The sequence below is a fragment of the Homo sapiens genome, chromosome 21 (assembly GCF_000001405.40).
Source record: "Homo sapiens chromosome 21, GRCh38.p14 Primary Assembly".
Lineage (NCBI taxonomy): Eukaryota > Metazoa > Chordata > Mammalia > Primates > Hominidae > Homo > Homo sapiens.
Window position 1 is genome coordinate 7,621,603 of NC_000021.9, and position 24,582 is coordinate 7,646,184.

At 40.7% G+C, this 24,582-nt stretch overlaps 1 pseudogene; it reads right to left on the reverse strand.

The window, feature by feature from the left end:
• Positions 1–1,127: 1,127 nt before the first annotated feature.
• The window catches only part of CTBP2P9 (CTBP2 pseudogene 9), a 44,659-nt pseudogene continuing 21,204 nt past the window's right edge, over positions 1,128–24,582 (reverse strand).

Here is a 24,582-nt window from a genome sequence, read left to right on the forward strand (position 1 = left end):
TAACACCTACCAAATATGTGATTAGAAAATATTTTTACTCTTTTTAGTTATATGTATGTATGTATGCATATATATAACCCTATACAAGACAGGGTCTTGCTATGTTTTCATGGCTAGTCTCAAACTTTTGGTCTCAAGTGATTGTTCTGCCTTGGCCTCCTAAAGTTGTAGAATTAAAGGCATGAGACACCATGCCTAGCTTTCACCCACTTATTAGGTGACGTTTGTATGGCACTAAATGTTTTATTTGATGTGTAGAATAGTTGAAGCTTAATGTAGTCCCTTTTCTTGGTCGTTGTTCTTTTCCTTGTTGCTTATGAATTTGATGTCAAACTTAAGGAAAGAGTTTTAAGACTTATGTCATAAACTTTTCCCTTATGTTTACTTCTAAGAATTTTATTAGGTTTTATGTTTAAGTATTGAATTCATTTTAAAAACTTTTCTTTTTATATATGATACAAAGGAAGCATCCAACTTTATTTTTTTCTCTGTAAATATTCAATTTGGAAAACTCTTTGTTAAATGGATTCTTATTTTTCTATTGTGTGGTCATGGAAAGCTTACGGAAGATTATTTTATCACATATGCAAGGGTTTATTTCTGGGATCTCTATTCTGTTTCGTCATCTATGTATCTGTTTTTGTGGCAATACCACATTGTTTTTATTTTTGTAGCTTTGTATCATGATTTTGAATCAGAAAATGTAATACCTCTTTGTTCTTTTTAAAGGGTGTTTGGCTAGTCACCTGTCCTAAGCAACGTTTAGAATTATACACAAAAATTCTGCAAAAAAAATACCATTGGGATTTTGACAAAAATTACCTTACATTTTTATATCATCATGAGTAGTACTGACAACATTTTTTTTTTTTTTTTTTTTGGAGATGGAGTTTTAGTGAGTCACTCAGGCTGAAGGGCAGGGGTGCGAGATGTGCTCACTGCAGGCTCCGCTTCCCAGGTTCAAGCAATTCTCCAGTCTCAGCCACCAGAGTAGCTGGGATTGCAGTCGTGCACCATCACGTCTAGCTAACTTTTGTATTTTTAGTAGAGATAGGGTTTTGCCATATTCACTAGGCTAGTCTCAAACTTCTGATCTCAAGTGATCCACCCACTTTGGCCTCCCAAAGTCCTAGGATTACAGGCATGAGCCTCATGCCGGCCCTGACATCTTAACAATATTAAATCACCTGACACTTGAGCAAGACTATATGAAAGATTTTGCTTAATTTCCTCTTATTTACATATTTGCCACATTTTCTTGCTTTTGAATTCTAGTTTCATTTACATTGTATGGCTTCAGTTTTCTTAAATTTAATAAGACATGTATCCTAACAGAATGTACCATGTGTGATTTAGAATATTGCAGATTTTGCTCCTTTAAATTGGAGAGTTCTGTAAATGCTGGTTGGGTCTATAATGTTCAGGTTTGGCTTTCTTACTGATATTACTTCTGACTATTCTAGTCATTACTGAAAGTGGAGTCTTGAAGTCCACCATTGTTGTGTTGCTATGTATTTCTTGCTTGACTTCTGTCAATATTTGTTTTACATATTTGAAAGACGAGAATCAGTTGAACCTGGGAGGAGGAGGTTGAAGTGAGCCTATCGAGAGATCATGCCACTGCCCTCCAGCCAGAGAGAAAGAAACTCTGTCTCTAAAAAAAAAAAAAGAAAGAAAGATGTCAGTGCTATTTATAGTAATACAAAAATTTAATGTAATTTTTGTCAAAATCTCAGTGGTATATTTTTGCAGATTTTTCAAATTATATATATATGATTTATAAATTATTGTTATAGATTCCTGGAAAGTTAATCCATCTCACCATTACATAATACCAATCTCTCTCGGCCGGGCGCAGTGGCTGACGCCTGTAGTCTCAGCAATTTGGGAGGCCGAGGCGGGTGAATCATGAGGTCCAGAGATCGAGACCATCCTGGCCAACAAGGTGAAACCCCATCTCTACTAAAAAGTACAAAAATTAGCTGGGTGAGGTGGCGGCGTGTGCCTGTAGTCCCAGCTACTCGGGAAGCTGAAGCAGGAGAATCGATTGAACCAGGGAGGTTGTGGTTGCAGTGAGCCGAGATCGTGCCACTGCACTCCAGCCTGGTGACAGAATGAGACTCTGTCTCCAAAAACAAAAACAAAAACACAATACCAATCTGTCTCTTGTTCATATTTTTGATTTAAAATATATTTTGTTTAGTATAATTATGACCATGGCCCTCCAATTTTAGCTACTCTTTGAATAAAATATATTTTCTTTATACTGTTACTTTCAACTTATTTGAGTCCTTAGAGCTGAAGTGACTCTTGTAGAGAGCAAATTGCTGGATCTTCTTTGTTCTTAATCCATTAAATTATTTATTAATTTTCTTTAAGGTATTTAACTTTTTATATTTGAAGTAATTACTGCATTTAATGAAGTTACTTTATTATTTGTAATTGTCTTCTGTGTTTCTTGTAGATGTGTTATTTATCATTTTTTCTCTTACTGCTTTATTTCTGTTTGTTGATTTTGTAGTGACGTGATTGAATTTCTTTCTCATTTGCCTTTGCATACATTCTACAGGTTTTTTTTGGTAATCATCCTGAGAAATAAAGACTTCATAAATCATCTTAAAGTTATGACAGTATAGAACAACTATATTTCAACTGAATGCAAAGTTGTACCTCTTGACACCCCCACTGTTTTATTAATATCGCATATTATCTTTCCTTATGGTCTATGATCACAAATTTATGCAGATTTCTGCCTCATGTTTTAAACTCCATGGCAATATTTTGAAAGTTTTGTGCACCATGATTATGACAGTAGAGATTTCTTTACCTGTTTATATATTTACCTTTAATAGAGAGCTTTCTATTTTCATGTGCTGTTATGATGCTCTGCAGCATCATTTCATTTTTGGACGTGATAGACTCTTTTACACTTCCTTTAGGACTGTTCTAGTGGTTAGTAACACAATCAACTTTTATTTATTTGGAAAGGTTTAGTTTTTTTATTTCTGAAGTGATATTACTCCAGTTGAAGGTTTTTGTTTGGAAGTATTTCTTCTTGTTTAATTATCTTGCCATGTGGGGATTTCTCAGCTACTTTTTAAAAATAACCTCTTTATTACTTTTCTCCTATATTGTTTTTGTAAGACTCCTTTCATAAATATAATGGTCCACTTGACCATGTGCAGTACTTCCCATACTTTTTCCTCCATTCTGCTTAAAAAATTTGTTTTCATCACTCAATATTTATAACTACAATGTCATCAATTGTGTAATTTTTTCTCCTTTATTAGTCTGCTTTTGTGACTGTTGATTAAATTTTTAATATAGCTATTATGTTCTTCAGATTCACAATTGTTGGTTTTTAAAAATCTTTTTATTGATATCTCATTTTCTTTATGTATCACTTCTTCTAATATTCTTTTGTTGTCTATGTTCTGTTTTTGTTCATTAAGCAGTTTTTTCTAATCACATTTTATTGAAAACTGCACTGAATGCTAAATGTCCATCTTTACAATAAACAACTACAGTAACGGTAATTCGCACTACACTAAAACAAAACGTACTTCTGATAGCCATTATTTTTCTGTTTGGGACAGTCTTAAAAATTTCTCTTTTCTTACAAAAACGGGAATGTACCTAATCAAAGGATCAAAACAGGCCATCTTTTTAAACAAAAAGACTATATTCACAAAAGACTATAAATAGAACATGTAACTAATTGATGCAAATCTAATATAATTTGTTAAAATCAGTCACATCCAATACAGCTGAAGTGTTCTTGTATAAAACACAACGTGAAGAAAAGAAGACTTTATCAATGTCTTAAAAAGTGGGTTTGTTCATAGACAATCTGACAAGTTACCATTAAAAGTGTTTCCTGTGACATAAGAAAATGCAACACTATTTTTCTTGAACCCTTTTAGTGCAAGACTTCCCACTAAATAAAATAGCAGAGGATCTGAAACTGAGAAAATATACTTGATTACAAACAGCGTGTGAAACTTAATACTTTTTTTTTTTTTTTTGCATTATCAGAGGCTTTTACTGAACTTACAACCAACTTGCCCGCTCAGTATGCAGTTCAGATGTGAGAGACGCTTCTCTGTACAGGAGCCGGTACTGTCTTCAATCTTATGTGTGAGGATGTCTACCATAGGCAAACAGTTTACTCCATATTTTCTAGTAATGTGATCTTCCTATTAACAAAATGCTGTAACCAGTCCCTGTAGACTGAAGGGACTCAAGTCACAAGATGGGGATTTCCTCCTCATGGTTTTTATTTTGATGTTTGAAGTCTTGATGCAACATTCTGAGCAGGGTGTTCCAGACCTGCTGTGCCCAAGGGACTGATAAAGGAAAAAATTGTATTCATTCTTTGTGATTTGATGCACAGATGAAAAACTAAACACATAATAACGGAAGTTGGTGGTTAATAAATCACATCCTAGTCTTTCAGAGCTTCCGTAAGCAGACGACATCTGCAGTTTTCTAGGTCTTGCAGTTTTAACAGTGCAAAACCAATGAGCATATGTCCAGAATCAGCTAAAAAGAGCGTCAGATTCTTTTTCTCTTAGTTTGTCTATTTTTCACTGTCTCTTCTTCAAAAGTGTATCTGAATGATTACCTTCCGGCATTCTCTGTTATTACTCGTTGGGGTGCTCTCGATTGTCCCCGTGTTTGAGGGCTGGTTGGGAGAGGGTGCTTGGGAAGGATGTGCCACTGTGGGGAGTTTGTGAGTCACCGGGATGCCTCCAGGGAATGTCCCTTCCATGGATGCAGGAAGTCCTCCTGGACCCACGCCCAAGATGCCTGGATGAATTTCTTGCTGGTCTATTTCCCACCAAAGCACAGATGTGACAAAGAATTCCTCGTTCACACAGTTTCTTAAGCTTCCTGGGATGCGACCTGTGATGGCTCGGCGGAGCTCGGTGGCAGCTGTCTCCCTCATCTCCAGTGACACCTGCTGGCTGTAGCAGGCAGTGAGAGGAGTGCAGATGAGATTGGGGGCATCTTTCAACGGACCCTGAGCAAAGCTAAAGGGCTGCGACTCGTTCACGTCGACGACTGCCCTTCGTATCCTGCCTTCCTTGAGGGCCTGTGCTAAGGCTCTCTCGTCCACCAGGCCACCACGGGCTGCGTTCACAAGGAATGCTCCCTGCCTCATCTGCTTTATGGTAAAGTCATTGATGAGGTGGTGCTTAAGTTCGTTGAGACTGCAGTGCAAGGAGATGCAGTCGCTCTGATACAGCCAATCCTGCAGGGTGTAGACCCTCTGCATGCCCAGGGACTGCTCGATCCCATCCTGCAAGTAGGGGTAATAAAACATGACGCTGAATCCAAAGGCTGTGGCTGGAACTGCAAAAGCCTGCTGCGTGCGACCCTAGCCGATGAGGCCCAGCGTCTTCCCACGAATGCGGGCCACTCCCGAGGCCACCTCGCAGATCTGCTCCATGCTCTGAACCCGCTTGCCTTCCCACAGTGCCTGGTACAGCCATGTGTTCCTCCGGTACATGTTGAGAATGTGGCAGTTGGTGGAATTGGCTGTCTCTTCCACGGCTGCGGACGGGATGTTTCACACAGCAATTCCGAGCTCGCTGGCAGCCTTGATGTCCACGTTGTCATAGCCACTGCCCACCCCCACGATCACTCTCAAGGACTTGAAATTTGCCAGAACCTCCCTGGTGAGGTGATTGTGTGGTGCATCATGGGGCCCACGGCTCTGTTTAGAACTTTCTCGTGGATTTCCTGCGTGGACTGCATCATAGAAGGCCACGGTGGCCTTCAGGATGGGCATGTCCACAGTGCAGTCACGGCCGACCAGGAACGCTGCCAGTGAGCGGGGGCTTAGGGGGTCTTTCGTGATCTGGCGGCGAATTCCTTCACAAATTCTGTCCAATCGCTGTCTCTTGACTTAGCGCTTATCCACAGGGCCATTCTTTACGGAACTTTGCAACTCTCAGATCAAAAGGTAAAGCAGTCCTCTAAGAACTTAGGGGAACTCGCAGGAGTCTGTGTGCATGATGCCACTATGAACCCAATATAAATTTGTTCACAAACTCTATAGTTCACACGATGGGCTGTCCGTCTCTTTAAGGGAATATAGCTTCATTGGTTCAAAACCATTTAAGGTGATGAAACCCATTTGGTTGCAACTCAGCCACCATCGCGCAGTCAATCAACGAATCTCACCACGACCCCAGGTCTGGAGCTCCTGGAGTCCGCGACCGCTGGGGGTGGAGGCGGCTTCGGCCTGGTGCAGCCAGGTCCTTGCTCCTGCTCTGAGCCTCGGGCGTGGGTTGGGGGTCCACCCGGGTGTCCCGCATGGTGTCTAAGCTCCTCCCTTGCCGGAGCCCTGCGGACTGGAGGAGTGTTCATATCATTAAGGAGCTTTGATAATTATTTTGATTTTCAAAATTATATAATGCAAAAACAACAACAACAAAGAATAAACCTACAAATTTTGACCTTTAAAAGTCAACAAAGATTTTTAAAGATCAATATTTGTAGGTTTATTTTATTTCTTCAATTGGGACATGTTTTCGTCCTTTTCTGTATGCCCTGCAATCTTTTGATGAGATTCAGAAATTTATAAAACAACTGTGTAATGTAGTATGTACAAACTTGCTTACTACAAGATAATACAACAATCAGTGAGGCTGTACATCCTGGTTCTTCATTAACAGTGTCTTCAATGTGTCTTCTCTGGGCTTGTGTGTGGATTTTTAAGGTAAAGATATTTTTTCCCATTGTTTTCCAGACACTGTGGTCCTTTGCTTCCGCAGTTGATTGTAGTGTTTGTTTCTCTGAGGCTGTGGTAAGCATGTAACTTCTCTTCTCAGCAGTCATAAGTTATCATTCTCATTACTCTGCCATTTCCTTTAGCATTCCCTGTTTGGGGAGACAGAATCTAGTCATCAGCGGTAGCCCACAAAGCCAAACCTTTGAACATATGTTCCACTGTTCTCATTCTATACTGAGGGATATACTAAAAGTTGGACGTTTTCTCTTGAGCCCAATTGCTGTTCTGGGAAAGAAGAAGGGATGTGGTGAATATAAGCCAGACCTGGTTGCCTCGTACAGCAAGCTTTTCCAACCCGCCTTGTTTTGTTTTTGTTATGGCTCTGTTTTGTTTTAGGTTTTTAGCAGCCTGCAGCAATGGTTTTTGGGTTCTGTGTCTAGTGATAAGTGGAAAAGGGGGATGAGGAAAGGGCCTTACTGGCTCAACCAGAAACAGAAACTAAGAACTCATGGCTGTAGTCTCCCGTGGATGCCCCTGTCCTACAGTAAAGGAAATGTCTTTGGAATGTAAAAAGAGAGAGAATAATAGGCAACACCCCAATAGGGAAGAATAAACAAATAACAAAGATGAGAGGTGCAAAGGCCAAGGAGAAAACCTTAAAAATGTGGTGTTGGAAGTTCTGCTTCAAAGAAATTGGTTCTGGAAAATTCTAAATTTACTTCTTTTGCTGCCACAGGTGGAAATTTCCTACCCTATGCTTATTATGCTCTTAAATCTTCTAAGGCTTCTCTGTTCATCCACTAACATTCCAGGGCATTCACAGTGACAGCCAAAGTTCACCTCTTCTTTCTGCTATTCCCATGAAGCTCTTGTGGTCTGAGTGCTTTTCCATTGTTTTTGGGATCTGAGGAAATCTGCACATTTTGTGAGACTTCTATGTTAAGCTGTTTTGTAAAAATCTGTGCCTCATGTCAGAAGTTTGTGAGAGCAAAAGTGCAGGCATTGGGGTTTGGTTCACATATTTCAGAAACACCAAGGACAAATGTTTCCTCCTCATAATTTTCAGTCCTATTATTTCAAATGTGTTCCTGCAAAAAAATCAGAAAAAAAATTTATCAGAGCCCAAAGCACCTCAGCAGATATGATAAAGTTGAATCTTCTATTTCACTTTATTCTTTTTTTCATCTCTGGTAATGTAGGTCAAAAAGTTTTCTTTCCCTTAGTAGAAACTAACTTAGAAATGTGAACTCTCTATGCCAAACATATCACCTATGGAATAGTTTATTGTATCTACTCATCTCAAAGAATTTTTAAGGACCTTAATCCATAGAAAAACTTAGAAACATGCCAGGAATAGAACAAATTCTTAACTGTTACATTATTTCTTAATGAGTTATTTTATTAATTAATCTTATATAAAGCTTAGTGGGACTGTGATCTGTATGTTTTCCCTGTCCTGTTTTTACGTATGTCAAATTAGCCTATAACTTTAGCTTCAGGGGTTTCAGAAAACATACTTGAATTTATGTGTTATATAAAAAGTGAATTGGATGATATGCACATCACATTAAGAAAAGTTTTAGTTTGTGTCTAAGTTCACTGCATAGAAAAACTTATCATTAGTGTTTCCATTTACTTTCCTCAACATTTATCTGAATGATAGTATAATTTATTTCTAATTGCTTATTATATTGTAGTTTTCCACAGCATATTTTACAATATTCATGTTGTTCCCATATGTAAAAATGTAAGGCTTTTCTTTGTTTTAAAAATAATAAATTATAGGCCAGTGCTGTGTTTCATGCTTGTAATCACAGCACATTAAAAGGTCGAGATAGGTGGATCATGAGGTCAGGAGTTCAAGACCAGCCTGGCCAACATGGTGAAATCCTGTCTCTACTAAAACTACAAAAAATATCGCCGGCGAGGAGCGGTGACTCAAGCCTGTAATCCCAGTACTTTGGGAGGCCGAGACGGGTGGATCACGAGGTCAGAAGATCAAGACCTTCCTGGCTAACACGGTGAAACCCCGTGTATACTAAAAATACACAAAAATTAGCCGGGCGTGATGGTGGGCGCCTGTAGTCCCAGCTACTCAGGAGGCTGAGGCAGGAGAATGGCGTGAACCAGGGAGGTGGAGGTTGCAGTGAGCCGAGGTCTCGCCACTACACTCCAGCTTGGGTGACAAAGCGAGACTCCATCTCAAAAAATTAAAAAAAATAAATAAATTATAGCCTTTCCATTTGTATAAAAAGAGGAGTAATATATTAAGAACATAATAAAAAGTGTCTCTAATATCATTGAAATCTTTATTAAAATTTTCTTCTAAATGCTCTTTATGGGAGATTATAATGTATTTGTTGTGCAATTTTGTTACTCTAACCATATGCTAAGAATTCAAAATCTGCTCTTTATGGGAGCCCAGTTATGGTTGAACATGCTAGTTATCTGGAAAGAGTCTTCTTCCGTTGCATGCTTTGTTTATTCGGTATTTCACAGGCTAATGTTTATTTAATTTTATTTTCTAATATTATATATTCTTGTATTTCCTTGTTAGGATAGGCTGCCTTACATTATTTAATTGTGTTTTTAGATTCTGCCTATATATTATAATTTTGTATGACTATATTCAACTGTGTACAGTTGAATATGAATCAGTCAAATATGAATCAACCACACGTCTATTGCCAACATAATTCTCTGTTCATTTGCTTGTATAAACATTACTCATACTTTATTTATGACTTGTGTATTTGTTTAATTAGTTGGTGGTCAATTATTTTTTTAATCCTCTCTGGGTGAGTAGTTGTGGAAATTGTCTTAATTTCCACTTCTATATATTAATGAATCTATATTACTTTTGTGTTGAAGGAAACACTTCTGTGATTTGAAGTTAATTTTTTTTTACCTCTGAACTTTTTACTGGCCTCCTGCTCCCCAAAGGGACCTTGCTTCTGATGGCTTAGCACAACAAAAAGTCTGTATTGTTGGTCTCAGACACCACTTTCCCGTCCACTATCCTGCGGGGGCTGTTCTTTTGGATAGCTTGCAGGTATTTACTGCTGTCCAGAGCATCCAGGAGATTGAAATCCTCCCCGTCTTCTAGCAGGCGGCAGTAAGTGGCAATCTCAGCCTCCAGCTCGACCTTGATGTTCCACAGGTCCTCGTGCTCTTGGGCGTGGTACCTCTCTTCCCGGTTTTGGGATAGCTCTGACTCCAGGTGCAGCAGGATCCTGTTGAGCTGCTCCATCTGCGTCTACCTCCCTTAGGCTGTTCTCCAAGCTGACTTTCAGATATCTCATTGAGTCCAGTTCGATATCCAAGGACTGGACTGTACATCTCAACCCCCTGAGCATCCTCTCAGCAGCTCCGATCTCAGCGGACTGCATGGTGACTACTCTGGTGCTCTCCTCAGTCTGCTGGGACCAGTACTTGTCCAGCTCCTCTCAGCTGTTCTCAGCCATCTCGTCATATTGGGCCCAGATGCCTGTCATGATCTTGCCAAGGTCCTGAGACTTGGGGACATCTACCTCCATGGTCAACCAAGAGCTGGAAATCAGGTATTATAGACCTTTAACTTCCTCCTCATGATTCTTCATGAAGAGCAGCTCTTCCTTGAGGGCCTCCATCTCTGTCTCCAGCAGAGGCTGACTGACACTGGTGTTATCAGTAATGTCGCACTCCACAAACTGGCACATGGCCAGGTCTGTCTCACACTTTAAAGTCATCAGCAGCAAAATGATCATTGTCAGTCTGCAGGATGATGCAGGCACTGTCTGCAGCAGTGGCAAAGATTTTTTTATTAGTCTAATTGTCTGTCTTTATGCTAGTAACATAAGATTTTGATTACTGTAGATTTCTAACATGTCTTGAAATCAGGAATTGTAATGCTTCCAACTTTTTTTATGTGGTCCCCTGAAATTCCGTATACTTTGGGGAGTCACATTCTCTGTTTCTGTCAAAAATAATATTAAGAATTTCATAGGGATTGTATTAAATCTGCAGCTCACTTTGGGCATTATAGACACGTTCAAAATATTAAATTTTTAACTCTTGAACAAAAACATGTTGAAGAATAAATTGTTTAATTATCATGTATTTGTGAATTTTATGAATTTTCTTCGGTTATTGATTTCTAGTTTTAATCCATTTTGGTCAGAAATTATAGTCTGTAGCCTTCAGTTTTTATTATACTTTAAGTTCTAGGATACATGTGCAGAACGTACAGGTTTGTTATACAGGTATACATGTGTTATGTTGGTTTGCTGCACCCATCAACTCAACATTTACATTAAGTGTTCTCCTAATGCTATCCCTTTCATAGCCCCCCACCCCCAAACAGGCACTAGCGTTTGATGTTCCCTGTCCTGTGTCCACATGTTCTCATTGTTTAACTCCTACCTATGAGTGAAAACATGCAGTGTTTGTTTTTCTGTCCTTGTGATAGTTTGCTGAGAATGATGGTTTCCAGCTTCATCCATGTCCCTGCAAATGACATGAACTCATCCTTTTTTAAGGCTGCGTAGTATTCCATGGGGTATATGTGTCACAATTTCTTAATCCAGTCTATCATTGATGGACATTTGGGTTGGTTCCAAGACTTTGCTATTCTGAACAGTGCCACAATAAACATACGTGTGCATGTGTTTTTATAGTAGCATGATTCATAATCCTTTGGATATATACCCAGTAATGGGATTGCTGGGTCAAATGGTATTTCTGGTTGTAGATACTTGAGGAATTACCACACTGTCTTCCACAGTGTTTGAACTAATTTACACTCCAACCCACAGTGTAAAAGCGTTTTTGTTTTTCCACGTCCTCTCCAGCATCTGTTGTTTCCTGACATTTTAATGATCCCCATTCTAACTAGCGTAAGATGGTATCTCATTGTGGTTTTCATTTGCATTTCTCTGATGACCAGTGATGATGAGCAATTTTTCATGTCTGTTGGTTACATAAATGTCTTCTTTTGAGAAGTGTCTGTTCATATCCTTTGCCCACTTTTTGATGGGATTGCTCGTTTTTTTCTTGTAAATTTGTTTAAATTCTTTGTAGATTCTGGATGTGAGTCCTTTGTCAGATGGGTAGATTGCAAAAATTTTCTCCCATTCTGTAGGTTGCCTGTTCACTCTAATGATAGTTTCGTTTGCTGTGTAGAAGCTTTTAAGTTTAATTAGATTTCATTTGTCTATTTTGGCTTTTGTTGCCATTGTTTTTGGTGTTTTAGTCATGAAGTCTTTGCCCATGCCTATGTCCTGAATGGTATTGCCCAGGTTTTCTCTTAGGTTTTTATGGTTTTGGGTCTTACATTTAAGTCTTTAATCCATCTTGAGTCAATTTATGTATAGGGTGTAAGGAAGAAATCCAGTTTCAGTTTTCTGCATATGGCTCGCCATTTTTCCCAGCAACATTTATTAAATAAGAAATCCTTTCCCCATTGTTTGTTTTTGTCACATTTGTCGAAGATCCAATGGTTGTAGATGTGTGATGGTATTTCTGAGGCCTCTGTTTTTTTCCATTGCTCTATATATCTGTTTTGGTACCAGTACCATGCTGTTTTTGTTACTGTAGACCTGTAGTATAGATTGAAGTCAGGTAGTGTGATACCTGCAGCTTTTCTCTTTTTGTGTAGGATTTTCTTGCCTATGCAGGCTGTTTTTTGGTTCCATGTGAACTTCAAAGTAGTTTTTTCCAATTCTGTGAAGAAAGTCAGTGGTAGCTTGATGGGGATAGCATTGAATCTGTAAGTTATCTTGGGCAGCATGGTCATTTTCATGATATTGATTCTTCCTTTCCAGGAGCATGGAATGTTCTTCCATTTGTTTGTGTCCGCTTTTATTTCATGGAGCAGTGGTTTGTAGTTCTCCTTGAAAATGTCCTTCACATCCCTTGTAAGTTGGATTCCTAGGTATTTTATTCTCTTTGTAGCAATTGTTGAGTGGGAGTTCACTCATAATTTGGCTCTCTGTTCATCTGTTATTGGTGTATGGAAATACTTGTGATTTTTGCACATTATTTTGTATCCTGAGACTTTGCTGAAGTTGCTTATCAGATTTAAGGAGATTTTGGGCTGAGACAATGGGGTTTTCTAAATATACAATCATGTCATCTGCAAACAGAGACAATTTGGCTTCCTCTTTTTCCTAATCGAATGTCCTTTATTTCTTTCTCTTGCCTGATGGCCCTGGCCAGAACTTCCAATACTATGTTGAGTGGGAGTGGTGAGAGAGGGCATCGTTGTCTTGTGCTGGTTTTCAAAGGGAATGCTTCCAGGTTTTGCCCATTCTGCATGATATTGGCTGTGGGTTTGTCATAAATAGCTCTTATTATTTTCAGATGTGTTCCATCAATACCTAGTTTATTTAGAGTTTTTATCATGAAAGGCTGTTGAGTTTTGTTGAAGGCCTTTTCTGCATCTATTGAGATAGTCATGAGATTTTTGTCATTGGTTCTGTTTATGTGATGAATTATGTTTATTGATTTGCATATGTTGAACCAGGCTTGCATCCCAGGGATGAAGCTGAATTGATCGTGGTGGGTAAGCTTTTGGATGTGCTGCTGGATTTGGTTTGTCAGCATTTTATTGAGGATGTTTGCATTGATGTTCATCAGGGATATTGTTTTTTTGTTGTGCTTCTGCCAGGCTTTGGTATCAGGATGATGCTGACCTCATAAAATGAGTTAAGGAAGATTCCCTCTTTTTCTCTTGATTCGAATAGTTTCAGAAGGGATGGTAGCAGCTCCTCTTTGTACCTCTGGTAGAATTCCGTTGTGAATTCGTCTGGTCATGGACTTTTTTTGGTTCATAAGCTATTAATTATTGCCTCAATTTCAGAACCTGCTATTGGTCTACTCAGAGATTCAACTTCTTCCTCGTTTAGTCTTGGAGGTGTGGATGTTTCCAGGAATTTATCAATTTCTTCTAGGTTTTCCACTTTATTTCCGTAGAGGTGTTTATAGTATTCTCTGATGGTAGTTTGTATTTCTGTGGGTTTCGTGGTGATATCCCCTTTGTCGTTTTTTATTGCGTCTCTTTGATTCTTCTCTCTTTTCTCCTTTATTTGTCTTACTAGTGGTCTATCTATTTTGTTAATCTTTTCAAAAAACCGGCTCCTGGGTTGATTGATTTTTTGAAGTGTTTTCTGTAACATTCAATTTTTTTTAATTCTGTTAAAAAATTTTTTTCCTTATATTTATTTTTAGGACAATGTTTTATGAGCTTTTGACAAGACTGTGAGTTTTGTTGTTGTGTAGAGTGATCTCTATGCATCTGTTACATCTAACTGTTTTACAGTATTTTCATGTCCTCTGTTTTCTTCTTAACATTCTCTCTGGCTTTATTATTAATTACAGAACTGGTGTATTAAAATATTGTTCTCAGTATATTGCAGTTTTTTGTTTATGTTCTGACAAAATATTATTGATTTATTTTAAAATCTTCATGTGAGGTTCATATATATGTGTGTCTGTATACATAATTAGATAAATACACACAATTATATAAATGTATATTATATAAATGTATATAATTTTCCTAGGTTTCCAGTGAATAAACTTTTTTATTATTTTGTCCTTTGTTTTCTTTGACAGTTTTAACTTATAATTTATTTTATAAACTAAGACAGTTATTTAAAAAGTATTTTGCATAATGTGCTCGTGACGTTGTCTTCATTTCATTACGATTTGCATAAAATTGTTTTGATGCATCTTGCCACTTTTAGTCTGTTTTTGTTACTATATAGTAAGATGGCTCATATCTGTCATCCGAGCATTTTAGGAGATTGAGGTGGGAGGTTAACTTGAGCCCAGAAGTTTGAGACCAGCCTGGGAAACAAAGCAATACCATGTCTCTAAAATAAATAAATAAATAAATAAATTGAATCCCCTGTAGACAGATGTAGTTAGATTTTATTTTATTTTTTATCTCTGTACTCTATTTATGACTTTTGTTTGAGAAGTTTAGTTTGTGAGTAGCTACATAATTTCCTGCATTTGAAGGAATTACTTTTGACACTTTTTGGAGTAAAAGGTAAATATTAAATTTGAACTAAATTGGACATGGACTCAAACAATGGTCACCAAGTCCCGGAACAGGTTGTGTGAGCCCCTTGAAGCCCTCATCCAGCGCTGTTTCAGATAAATCTCTATTTCAATTTATTCCTATATCTTAGTTATTGAAAAACAATAGACAATCAAAAAAACAAGTTGACCTTTTTGTGTTCCTTGAGCCCCGTTGTGAATAGCCTTCCTGACCGGACTTCATGCCAAATAACTCATTACAAAAAGAGCTGGGGTTCCAGACTGCGCCAAAGCTTCATGAGATCTCACGTTGTCTGTGGACGGATGAGTGGCCAATCTGGAGCCCAGGCTGTTGCTTCACAGTCTTGTGGTGAATCCTCCATAGTTTGGTGAGTTTAAATATATATATATATCTTTTCCCTTCTCCCCGTCCCATTGCAACTTGCTTATATATTTGCTTATTATATCTGCATTGCCATTTAAGTGGGATAAAGTTTGTTTGAATCACTGGCTGTGCGTGAGGTGCAGCAGGGAGTCCCAGTTGGTAATTGTAATGCTGAGGGAATTTCCCAGCATTGATGATGCTTGCTTACTTCTTATAAGTTAAAGTGTCAATGTAGGGACTGGTTGTTACAAGAGAAATGTAAGCTGGAAAAGGAAAATTTTAATCTGACTTCCAGACTGACCCTGGTACCATGCCAGGCCTGTCTTGACTGATCAGGCTCAAAGCTATCAGCCTATTGCTGAAAAAGCAGCTGTCCGAGTTGCCCAGTCAGGGTAAAACTGAATAACTAGTCAGTTTTCAGGGCAGAAGAGGGTAAAAACCCAAATCCTATCTCAAGGATGGGAAGTTAACTCTAATAAAATTCAATGGCCTGCACAAAGTGTAAAGTTCCTTGGCATCCTATGGACTGCAGGGAAACAGTCCATTTTACCAAAGGCTAACGCTAAAATACTAGAATTTGCAGCCCTACCACTGAAAAGGAGGTCCAAAATTGTATTGGCTTGTTTGGATTCTGGAGACATCATATTCCCCACTTGGGTAACATATTACAACCTCTGCATGCAGTCACTAGAAAACACTATGAATATCACTGGAGAGAGAAAGACAGCCTGGCTTTTCAACAAGCAAAACAAGCTGAGCAACTGGCCCTGGATCTATGGCCCTTATAGGATGAGTCAACAGAACTGCAAGTAACTGTCCTACATCAACATGCTAATTGGAGCCTTAGGTAGAAACAAGATGGGAAGAAGATACCTTTGGAGTTTTAGACCCAGAAGCTGCCAGAGGCTGGCAAAGCTTATACTCTTTGAGAAGCAGCTGTTGGCCTTCTACTGCGCTTGAAGGAAGCAGAACACCTTTGTTTTAATCATGATGTTTTTATGAGGCCCCAAATTCCTATTATGACTTGGGTCATGAGCTCCCTCAAAACCCATTGGATAGGGTACACTCAAGAATGTAGTATCATAAAATGGAAATGGTACATACAAGACCAGGATAAGCCAGAACTAAAAGCGGTATCATTTTTACTTGAAGATGTGCAAAACTTGCCAACTCAGGAAACCACAGGGCAAGTCCTGCATATAGGGAAGGAAACCTCCCCTGCCCAATGGGGCAAATCCTTTAAAGAACTAAGCCCAGAGGATCAGAAACACGCTTGGTTACTGATAGTTCCACCAAATACATTGATGGGACCTGATGCTGGGAGGCCGTGGCTTATAATCCTGTTAAAAACATAAGCGTTTCTGATGAAGGGAGGGGTGTGAGCAGCCAGCTGGCTGAACTAGAAGCCATCCTCCGAACTATTCAGGAGGAGGCCAGAGCAATTTGTTGCTTGTATACCGACTGTTGGTCAGCAGAAAATGGTCTTACTACCTAGTTGCCCGAATGGCAATGAAACAAATAGTGAATAATGAATAAAGAGGTTTGGAGAAAACAATACTAGGAAGATACCTGAATCCTGATGCACATTACTATTATTGCTGTTTTTCATATTGATTCTCATGCATCTCTGCATTCTCTTGACAGACTAAACAGCAGGTAGATCAACAGGCCAAAATTTCCAGCATAAATGCAAACTTGAATGTGGGTGAATGGATTACAACACATTCAAGCCTGGCGATGAGACACATTATAATGTATGGTGGTATAATTGATAATGATTACCAGGAACAGTTAAAGTTCACTTTACACAATACCACTCCACATTCTTTTGTTACAAGACCGCAGATTCGGGTTGCTCAATTGTCAGTGGTACCTGGTACCTTGTTAACAATTAACCCCTGAGGAAATCTCTGCCCCAACAGAGGCTACGTACAGAACTGGGAAATTAAGATCCACTGGTATAGGTAGCTTAAATCCTGGAACGAAAATATGGATACAGCCTCCATCAGATCCCGCCCCTAAGGCTGTGACCTTGTAGGTATGGGAGCAGAAAATAAAAGGGTAGTACAGTTTCCTAAAAATGAAAAACAATATTATGTTCCCCTTCAGTTTTGTTGTTACAGAGAATAACCTGTCTACTAGTAATCAGTACCTGGGTCATCAGGTCTGAGGTGGAGAGTGAATTCATCAACTGGGCAGCAACCACTGCGACAGAAGCTAACCGCAGTCAATGCTGGCTATGCATCAAATTGCCAGAGGCCACAGGAAATGGACTGCCTTGCAGAGTTGTCCTTGCCAATATTTCTGAATGGCTCTGTCACTACAAATGGGGCCAAAACAACAACACTTGCAATCCAACCTGGACTTCCTTTGCTACTTTAATAACATCTTAATACACTATAATTGTAGTATAACCATTGCTGTCCCCTGGGGGGCCCTCTGGGTATGCAGACCCTATGGGTGGCCTATCTGCCCCCTTATTGGATGGGGAGATTCACTTGGGGGTGCCATTAATTCCATTCACCATCCGGGATAATATTCCCTTCCCCAATAATCTAGATGCTTACAAAGGTAGCTGGTTATGAACGTGCCAGACTCCCTGGTGGTGGAAAACTATCACAGTATTCTCCCTTGCCCCTCGTACAATCCTGCTTCAGCAACAAATTAAAATATTAAGTCCACATATAGTAAAAGCTCCTAAGATAGTAGCACTGGACTTCTGTTGTTATCAGAAGAACTTGTTCAGCTGTGTACTGTTGTGTTGCAAAATCGAATGGCATTAGGTATGTTTACCGCAGCCCAAGGAGGGGTTTGAGTCTTGCTGCATTCTGAATGTTGTGTGTATCCCTGACAGTTCTCGCAGTATTACTCTCCTTGCCGAAGACATGCAAGGACAAGTAAAACAGTTAGAATCTAACCATCAGGACCCCATCATGGACTGGCTGTCAAACTAGCATTGGCGTTGGCCGTGGTGGGTGTGGTTTCTATTAATTGTGCTTTTAATTCTCCTCTGCTCTATCTGTAATCTATACCAGTTGTGACTTCCCCGTATAACTGTAAAAATATTTTCCTATGATTCAGTGTCAAATTGAGGCTGAATGAGGAGGAAAAGTTAAATATTAAATTTGAACTCAATGAACATGGACAGAAACAATGGTCACTAAGTCCTGGAACAGGTTGTGTGAACCCCTTGTGGAATTCATCCAGCACTGTTTCTGAGAAATAGTTATTGAAAAACAACAGAAAATCGCAAAAACAAGTAGGCCTTTTCGTTTTCCTTGAGTCCAGTCACGAAGGGCCCTTGTGAGTGGGCCTCATGCCGAACAAATCGTTACAAAAAAAGCTATGGTCCCAGACTGTGCTGAAGCTTAATGAGACCTCTCCTTGTCTGTGCAGGGGTGGGTGGCTGACTCTGGAGTCCAGGCTGACGCTTTCCTATAGGCAAAGCTCAGGGAACAGAGGAGAGTCACATCAAATAGTTGATGAGTCAAGAGATATGTCACAGGGACTCCTGTATGCAGGGTCCAGACAGGAAATCCACATCGTTTTGGTGCTGAGCCCAGCAATATATTACAATGTCTTCTGAGGGAAGAACCAAGGCAAAAAATTAATGTCACTTTGGTGTTAAGCCCAGTGATACATCACAATTTCCACTGCAGGAAGAACCTAGGCAGAAGAGAATAGTTACATCAGCTAGATGGTGCCACCATTGATATGTCACAATCTCCACTTGAACAGGAATCAGTCAGCAGAAGCAAGTCACATCACCTGAGTGATGGGTGCAGAGATAAGTCACAATGTCCCCTGTAGGCAGAGCACAGAAAGGAGAGCTGCATAACCTGGGTGTTGGACCCAGCAATATAGCTTATATGGTAGACCCCTGGCAGAAAAATTACAAAACATGGGTGCAGCACCAAGTATATGTTATAATGTCCCCTGTGAGCAGCACCAAGGCAGGACAGGAGACTCGCATCACTTGGTTGCTAAGACAAGTGATCTGCTACAATCTTCTTTGTAGGCAGGGTGCACACACTTTTTTTAGGTGGTGAATGCAGAGAGATGTCCCAAGGCCCCCTGTGAACAGGGCTCAGGCAGTAGCCATCAATTCCCTAGGTATTATGCCCAGCAGTATGTCACAATATACAAAATATGCAGGGCCCAGGGAAAAGAGGAGAGTCACATCATGTGGGTGCTTGTCCCAGTGATTTGTTACAATCTCTCTTTTTGACAGGACCCAGGCAGAAGAGGGGGGTCATAGGTGCTGGGTTCAATAATGTCACAATTTTATCATGGGCTGGGCTACGCAGAAGAGTCAAGTCACTCACGAGCTGGGCCGAGATATATTTCACAGTTATACCTCCAGGAAAGTCCAGGGCTGAGACTGACAATCCTGCACATGTCCCATATCTAGGTGTGAGAGCAAACACATTGTGTTTGTTGGGTCTAAGTGTAGAAGTCACAGTCTCAATGGTGCACTGGATCTGTGCATGGCAGCTTCAGTCTTTCCCGAGGACCGTGGCCCCTTAATGGAGTCACAGCCTCACGTGTTTGCTGAATGTTGGTTTTAGAGTCACTGACTCAAACATGGATCGCATCCACTTATGAGAGTCAATTATTCATCTCTCAACCGCCTCCAGGTGTGAGATTTGGAACCTCAACAATGGGCTGTGTTCATGTGAAAAGATGACAATTTTTACTCTTGGCTCAGCGTAGATATGAGTGTCACAATCTACTTTTGTTCTGGGCCCTGTCAGGACACTCTCTTCACCATATGCAGCCTTTATAGAGTATGCATGAGTGTAACAATTCTCTCTGAAACCTTAAGCAGGCACGGACCCCTCCTTGTACCTTTAGCTTTAAGCCCTGGTATGACAGTCAACATCTTTCTACTTGGATGGGTCCAAATAAGAGTTCTTAACTGCCTATGAGCTGCGTTTAAAAATGAGTCACCATCCCACCTGTGGCTGGATGTTCACATATGAAAGTCACAATCCCAGTTGTGGACTGTGTCTGCATGTGTAATTCAGGACCTCAAGAGTGGGCTCTCTCCACGTGTGATAGAGACCATCCTGAATATTGGTGTGGTGTGCATCTGAGAAGTATAATCTCACCAGTGTGGCGAGCCCTGTGGTGACAATTTCTCTACCATAGTTTACACAATATGCAAGACAGTGGTACTCCTCCGTGTGACGTATCACTGGGCCTTGCACACAGGTAATGTGAGTCTCCTCTCCTGCCTTGGAACGCTCACAGGAGGCATTGGGTCATACCACTGAAGCTGATATTCAGGTTATGTGCCTGTCTTTCCTGTGCTCTGTCCATGGGCTTTTGTGACATATTTCTGGGTCCAAAACACAGGTGACATAACTCTCCTGTCTGAACTCTGCCTAGAGAGGGCATGGTGGCATATCTCTGCACCAGCCACTAGATGATGTGACTCTATCTTCTGTCTAGTCTCTGCCTACAGGGTGAATTGTGACTTATCACCCGGCGCAGCATTTAGCTAATGTGACTCTTCCCTTTTTTCAGGTTCTGCCCTCGGGGGAGATTGTGACATATCGATTTGTAAAACACCAAAATGATTTTACTCTTTTATCTTGGCTCTGCCCTCAGAAGGCTTTGGGATATATTGCTGAACAAGCACCAAGGTAATGTGATTGTCCTACCTGAACCCTGCCCACAGGGAGCATTGTGACATATCTCTGAGCCCATGAACTATTTGATATGGCTCTATTCTCTTACCTGGGCTTTCGCCATGAGAAAGATTGTGAAGTATTTCTTGGTCCAGTGCTTAGGTAATGTGATTCTCCTCTCCAGCCTGAGACATGCCCACAGAAGTAAGAGTGACATCTCTGGGCCTAGCCCACAGGTGATGTGAACCTTATCCCTTGTTTCTGCCCAGGGGAGTCATTGTGATGTATCTCTGAGACCATTATTAGAATGATGTGACTCTCCTGTTCTTACTGCGACCTGTCCACAGTGGGGATGATGATGTATCACTTAGGCCAGCACATATGTGGTGTGACTCTCTTTTCATGCCTGTGCCCTGCCCCCTGGGTTAATTGTGACATATAACTGGGCCCCTCCCATAGGTTATGCAACATATCCCTGTGATAACACTCTTTGTACCATTTAAGAGCTTTATATAATATGAGAGAGTTGTATTCCTCTAAGACCTTCATACAAAACGAAGAGTTAAGACCTACCGGTTTTCCAAAGCCTCCCTATGAAAAACAGTATTTCTCTTAGTGGCAGGTTTGAGGTATGAGAGTCATTATTACACCTGTGAGCTGGCCAAGATATATGTTTCAATCTCTTCTGTGGGAAGGGAGTGAGCAGGAGAGTCACGTCACCGGGATGCTTGGCCTGAGATCTGTCAATATCTTCCCTGATGGCAGGGAACAGGTAGGAGAGTCACATACCTAAGGCTGGGCCAGGGATATGTAACAATGTTTTCTGAGGTCAGAGGCTAGGAGGGGAGTCCCATCACTTGTGTGCTCACAGGGGATATGTTACAATCCCCTCCTGAAATCAGAGTACAAGCAGCAGAGTCAAATCACCTGAATATTGAGCTCAGTGATATGTCACCACACTCCCTGTGGGCAAGGCCATAGCAGGAGAGAAACATCACCTGATTACTGATTACTGGGCCCAGTGATATGTCAGAATCTTTCCTGTGGGCAAGGTGCAGGCAGAAAGGAGAGTCACATCATCTGGTGTTGGAAGCAGAAATATGCTACAAGGCTCACTGTGGACAGAGTTCAGGCAGGAGCCTCTAATCTCCTAGGTGTTAAGTTCAGTGATACGTTACAATGCTCCCTGTGGGCAGCACGAAGTCAAGAGAATAGAGCCACATCACCTATGTTCTAGGTCCAATGATATGTCCCAATTTTATTTGTGAGCTGGGCTTAAACAGAAGAGTCTAATCACTCAGGTGCTGGACAAATGTGTATGCTTGTCACAATGACACCTGCAGGAAAGTCCAGATATGGGATGAATCCCGCACATATTCTGGTTTTATGCATGAGAGTGAACACCTTCTGTATGTTTGATCTAAGTACACAAGTCACTATCTCAATAGTGGACTAAATTTGTGCATGGCAGCCCCATTTTCTCTTGCGTACTTTGTCCCCTAATTGAAATCACAGCTTCCTAGGTGTGCTGACTCATGATCTGAGAGTCATCAACACATCTGTGACTCTCAAATATGAGAGTCAATTTTTCAACTTTTCAATCTGCCTTTGGGTATGGGATTCAGAGCCTCAAAAGTGAACTATGATCATGTGAAAGAACGACAATCTTTAATGTTGGCTGGGTGTGCATCCCAATGTCATTATATTACTGTGTGCTGAGCCCTATTAGGACTTTCTGTGTTGCACCTGACGGCTTTATGTTGTATGCATGACAGTCTCAATTCTTTCAGAGATTTTCATGCTGGTATGGACCCATGATCAAACCTGTGGCCCTAAGCCTATATATGAGTCAACATCTTTACAATTGGCGGGGTCCAGATAAGAGAGTCATCAGCTTTCTATGCGCTGGGTTTATAACGAAGTTCCCATTCCAACTCTGGCCAGATCTTTACATATGAGATTCGCAATTCCAACTATAAACTGCATTCATGTGTGAAATTCAGGACCTCACCAGTGGGTTCTGTTTATATGTGAGGGTGAAAATCATAATGGTCAGGAGGGTTCAGGGTGCGCATAGGAGTAACAAATTTCACCTGTGTGCTGGGCCCTGTGATAAGACTCTCTACCACCTGAGGACTTTCTGTAATATATGAGAGAGTGGATGATCTTAGCGAGGAGACCCAGGGTTTTTTTTCATTTCCCTAAGTGTAGCTAGGAGAAGCAGTATCTCTTCTATTGGCTGGTTTGACATATGAATGTCATCATTGCACCTGTGTGTTGTGTTCCAAGATATATGTAACAATTACACCTGCATATAGGAAGAGAGCAGGAGAGTAAAATCAGTTGGATGCTGGGTCAGTGATATGTCGCTTCCCTGAGGACAGGGACCAGTCAACAGTCACATTACCTGAATGTTCAGGCATTGGTATGTTGCAATCCACTCCTCACATTAGGAACGAGGCAGCAGAGACACATCACCTGCATGCTGGATCTAGCAATATTTCACAATCCTCTCTGTGGTCAGGATGCAGGCAGAAGAGTCACATCTTCTTGGTGATGAATGCAGAAATATGTCACAAGCTTCACTGCACGTAAGGTAGAGGAATAAACCTCTTATTCCCTAAGTGTTGGGCCCAGGGATATGTCACAATACCCAAAATATGCAAACCCAGGCAAAAGAGAACAGTCACATTACCTTGGTGTTAGGGTCAGTGATATGTCACAATCCCCTCTTTTGGAAGGGCCCAGGTAAGAGTGGAGAGTCACATCGCCTAGGCAATGAATAGAAGAGTATGTCATAATACCCCTGTTGGCAAGACCTATGCAGAAGAGTCACATCACCTATGTGTTCAACCCAGATATATGTTACTGTACACCATGTATGCAGGGCCCAGGCAAGAGAAAAGGCCACATCACCTCGGTTCTGGGCCCAGCAATATATCACAATTCCCCCTAAGAGGAGGTAACAGACAGCAGAGTCACATCACCTAAGACTGAGGAGCAGAGCTATATGGTAGTTCCCTGTGTGTGTGGGCCCAAAAATAGAGGAGAGTTACATCACCTGAAGACTGTACCCAGCTATAAGTCTTAATCACCCCTGTGGCCAGCACCCAAGCATGAGAAGAGAGTACCATCATGTAGGTGCTGTGCCAGGCTGTATTTCACAATCTCCACTATGGATAGGTTTCAGGGGGAAGAGGAGCATTACATTATCTAGTTGATGAGTCTAGAGATATGTCAAAATGACCCCTCTGGAGACACCAGGATGCAGAATCACATGACCTGTGTGCTGGGTCTAGGAATAACCCACTCTCCCTTCTGTAAACATGGCCATGGCAGAAGATGAGGGTCACATATTTAAGGTGATGAACACGGAAAGATTTCACAAGGCTCCCCATAGGCAAGACCCAGGCAGGACTTTCCCTTCCCTCAGTTGTTGGGAGGAGAAATACATCACAATGTGGGGCTCAAGCAGAAAACAAAAGAAATATCCCCTATTTTCAGGGCTCAGAATTATGTCACAATCTCTCCTATGGGCAAAGCCTTTGTTAAAAAAGGAGAATCTTGTCAAATAGTTGATGGGCTCAGAGATATGTCCCAATGCCATATGTTACAAATTGCTGTAGGCAGGCTTCAGGCAGGAGACTCACCTTGGTGTTGGGCCCAATAATGTGTCACAGTGCTTTCTGCTTGCAGAGCACAGTCAACAGAGTAATGTCACTGAGAAGTTGGACCCACCAATGTATCACAATCTCCTTCCAAACAAATCCTAAAAAACAAAAGAAGAGTAACATGAGATAGGT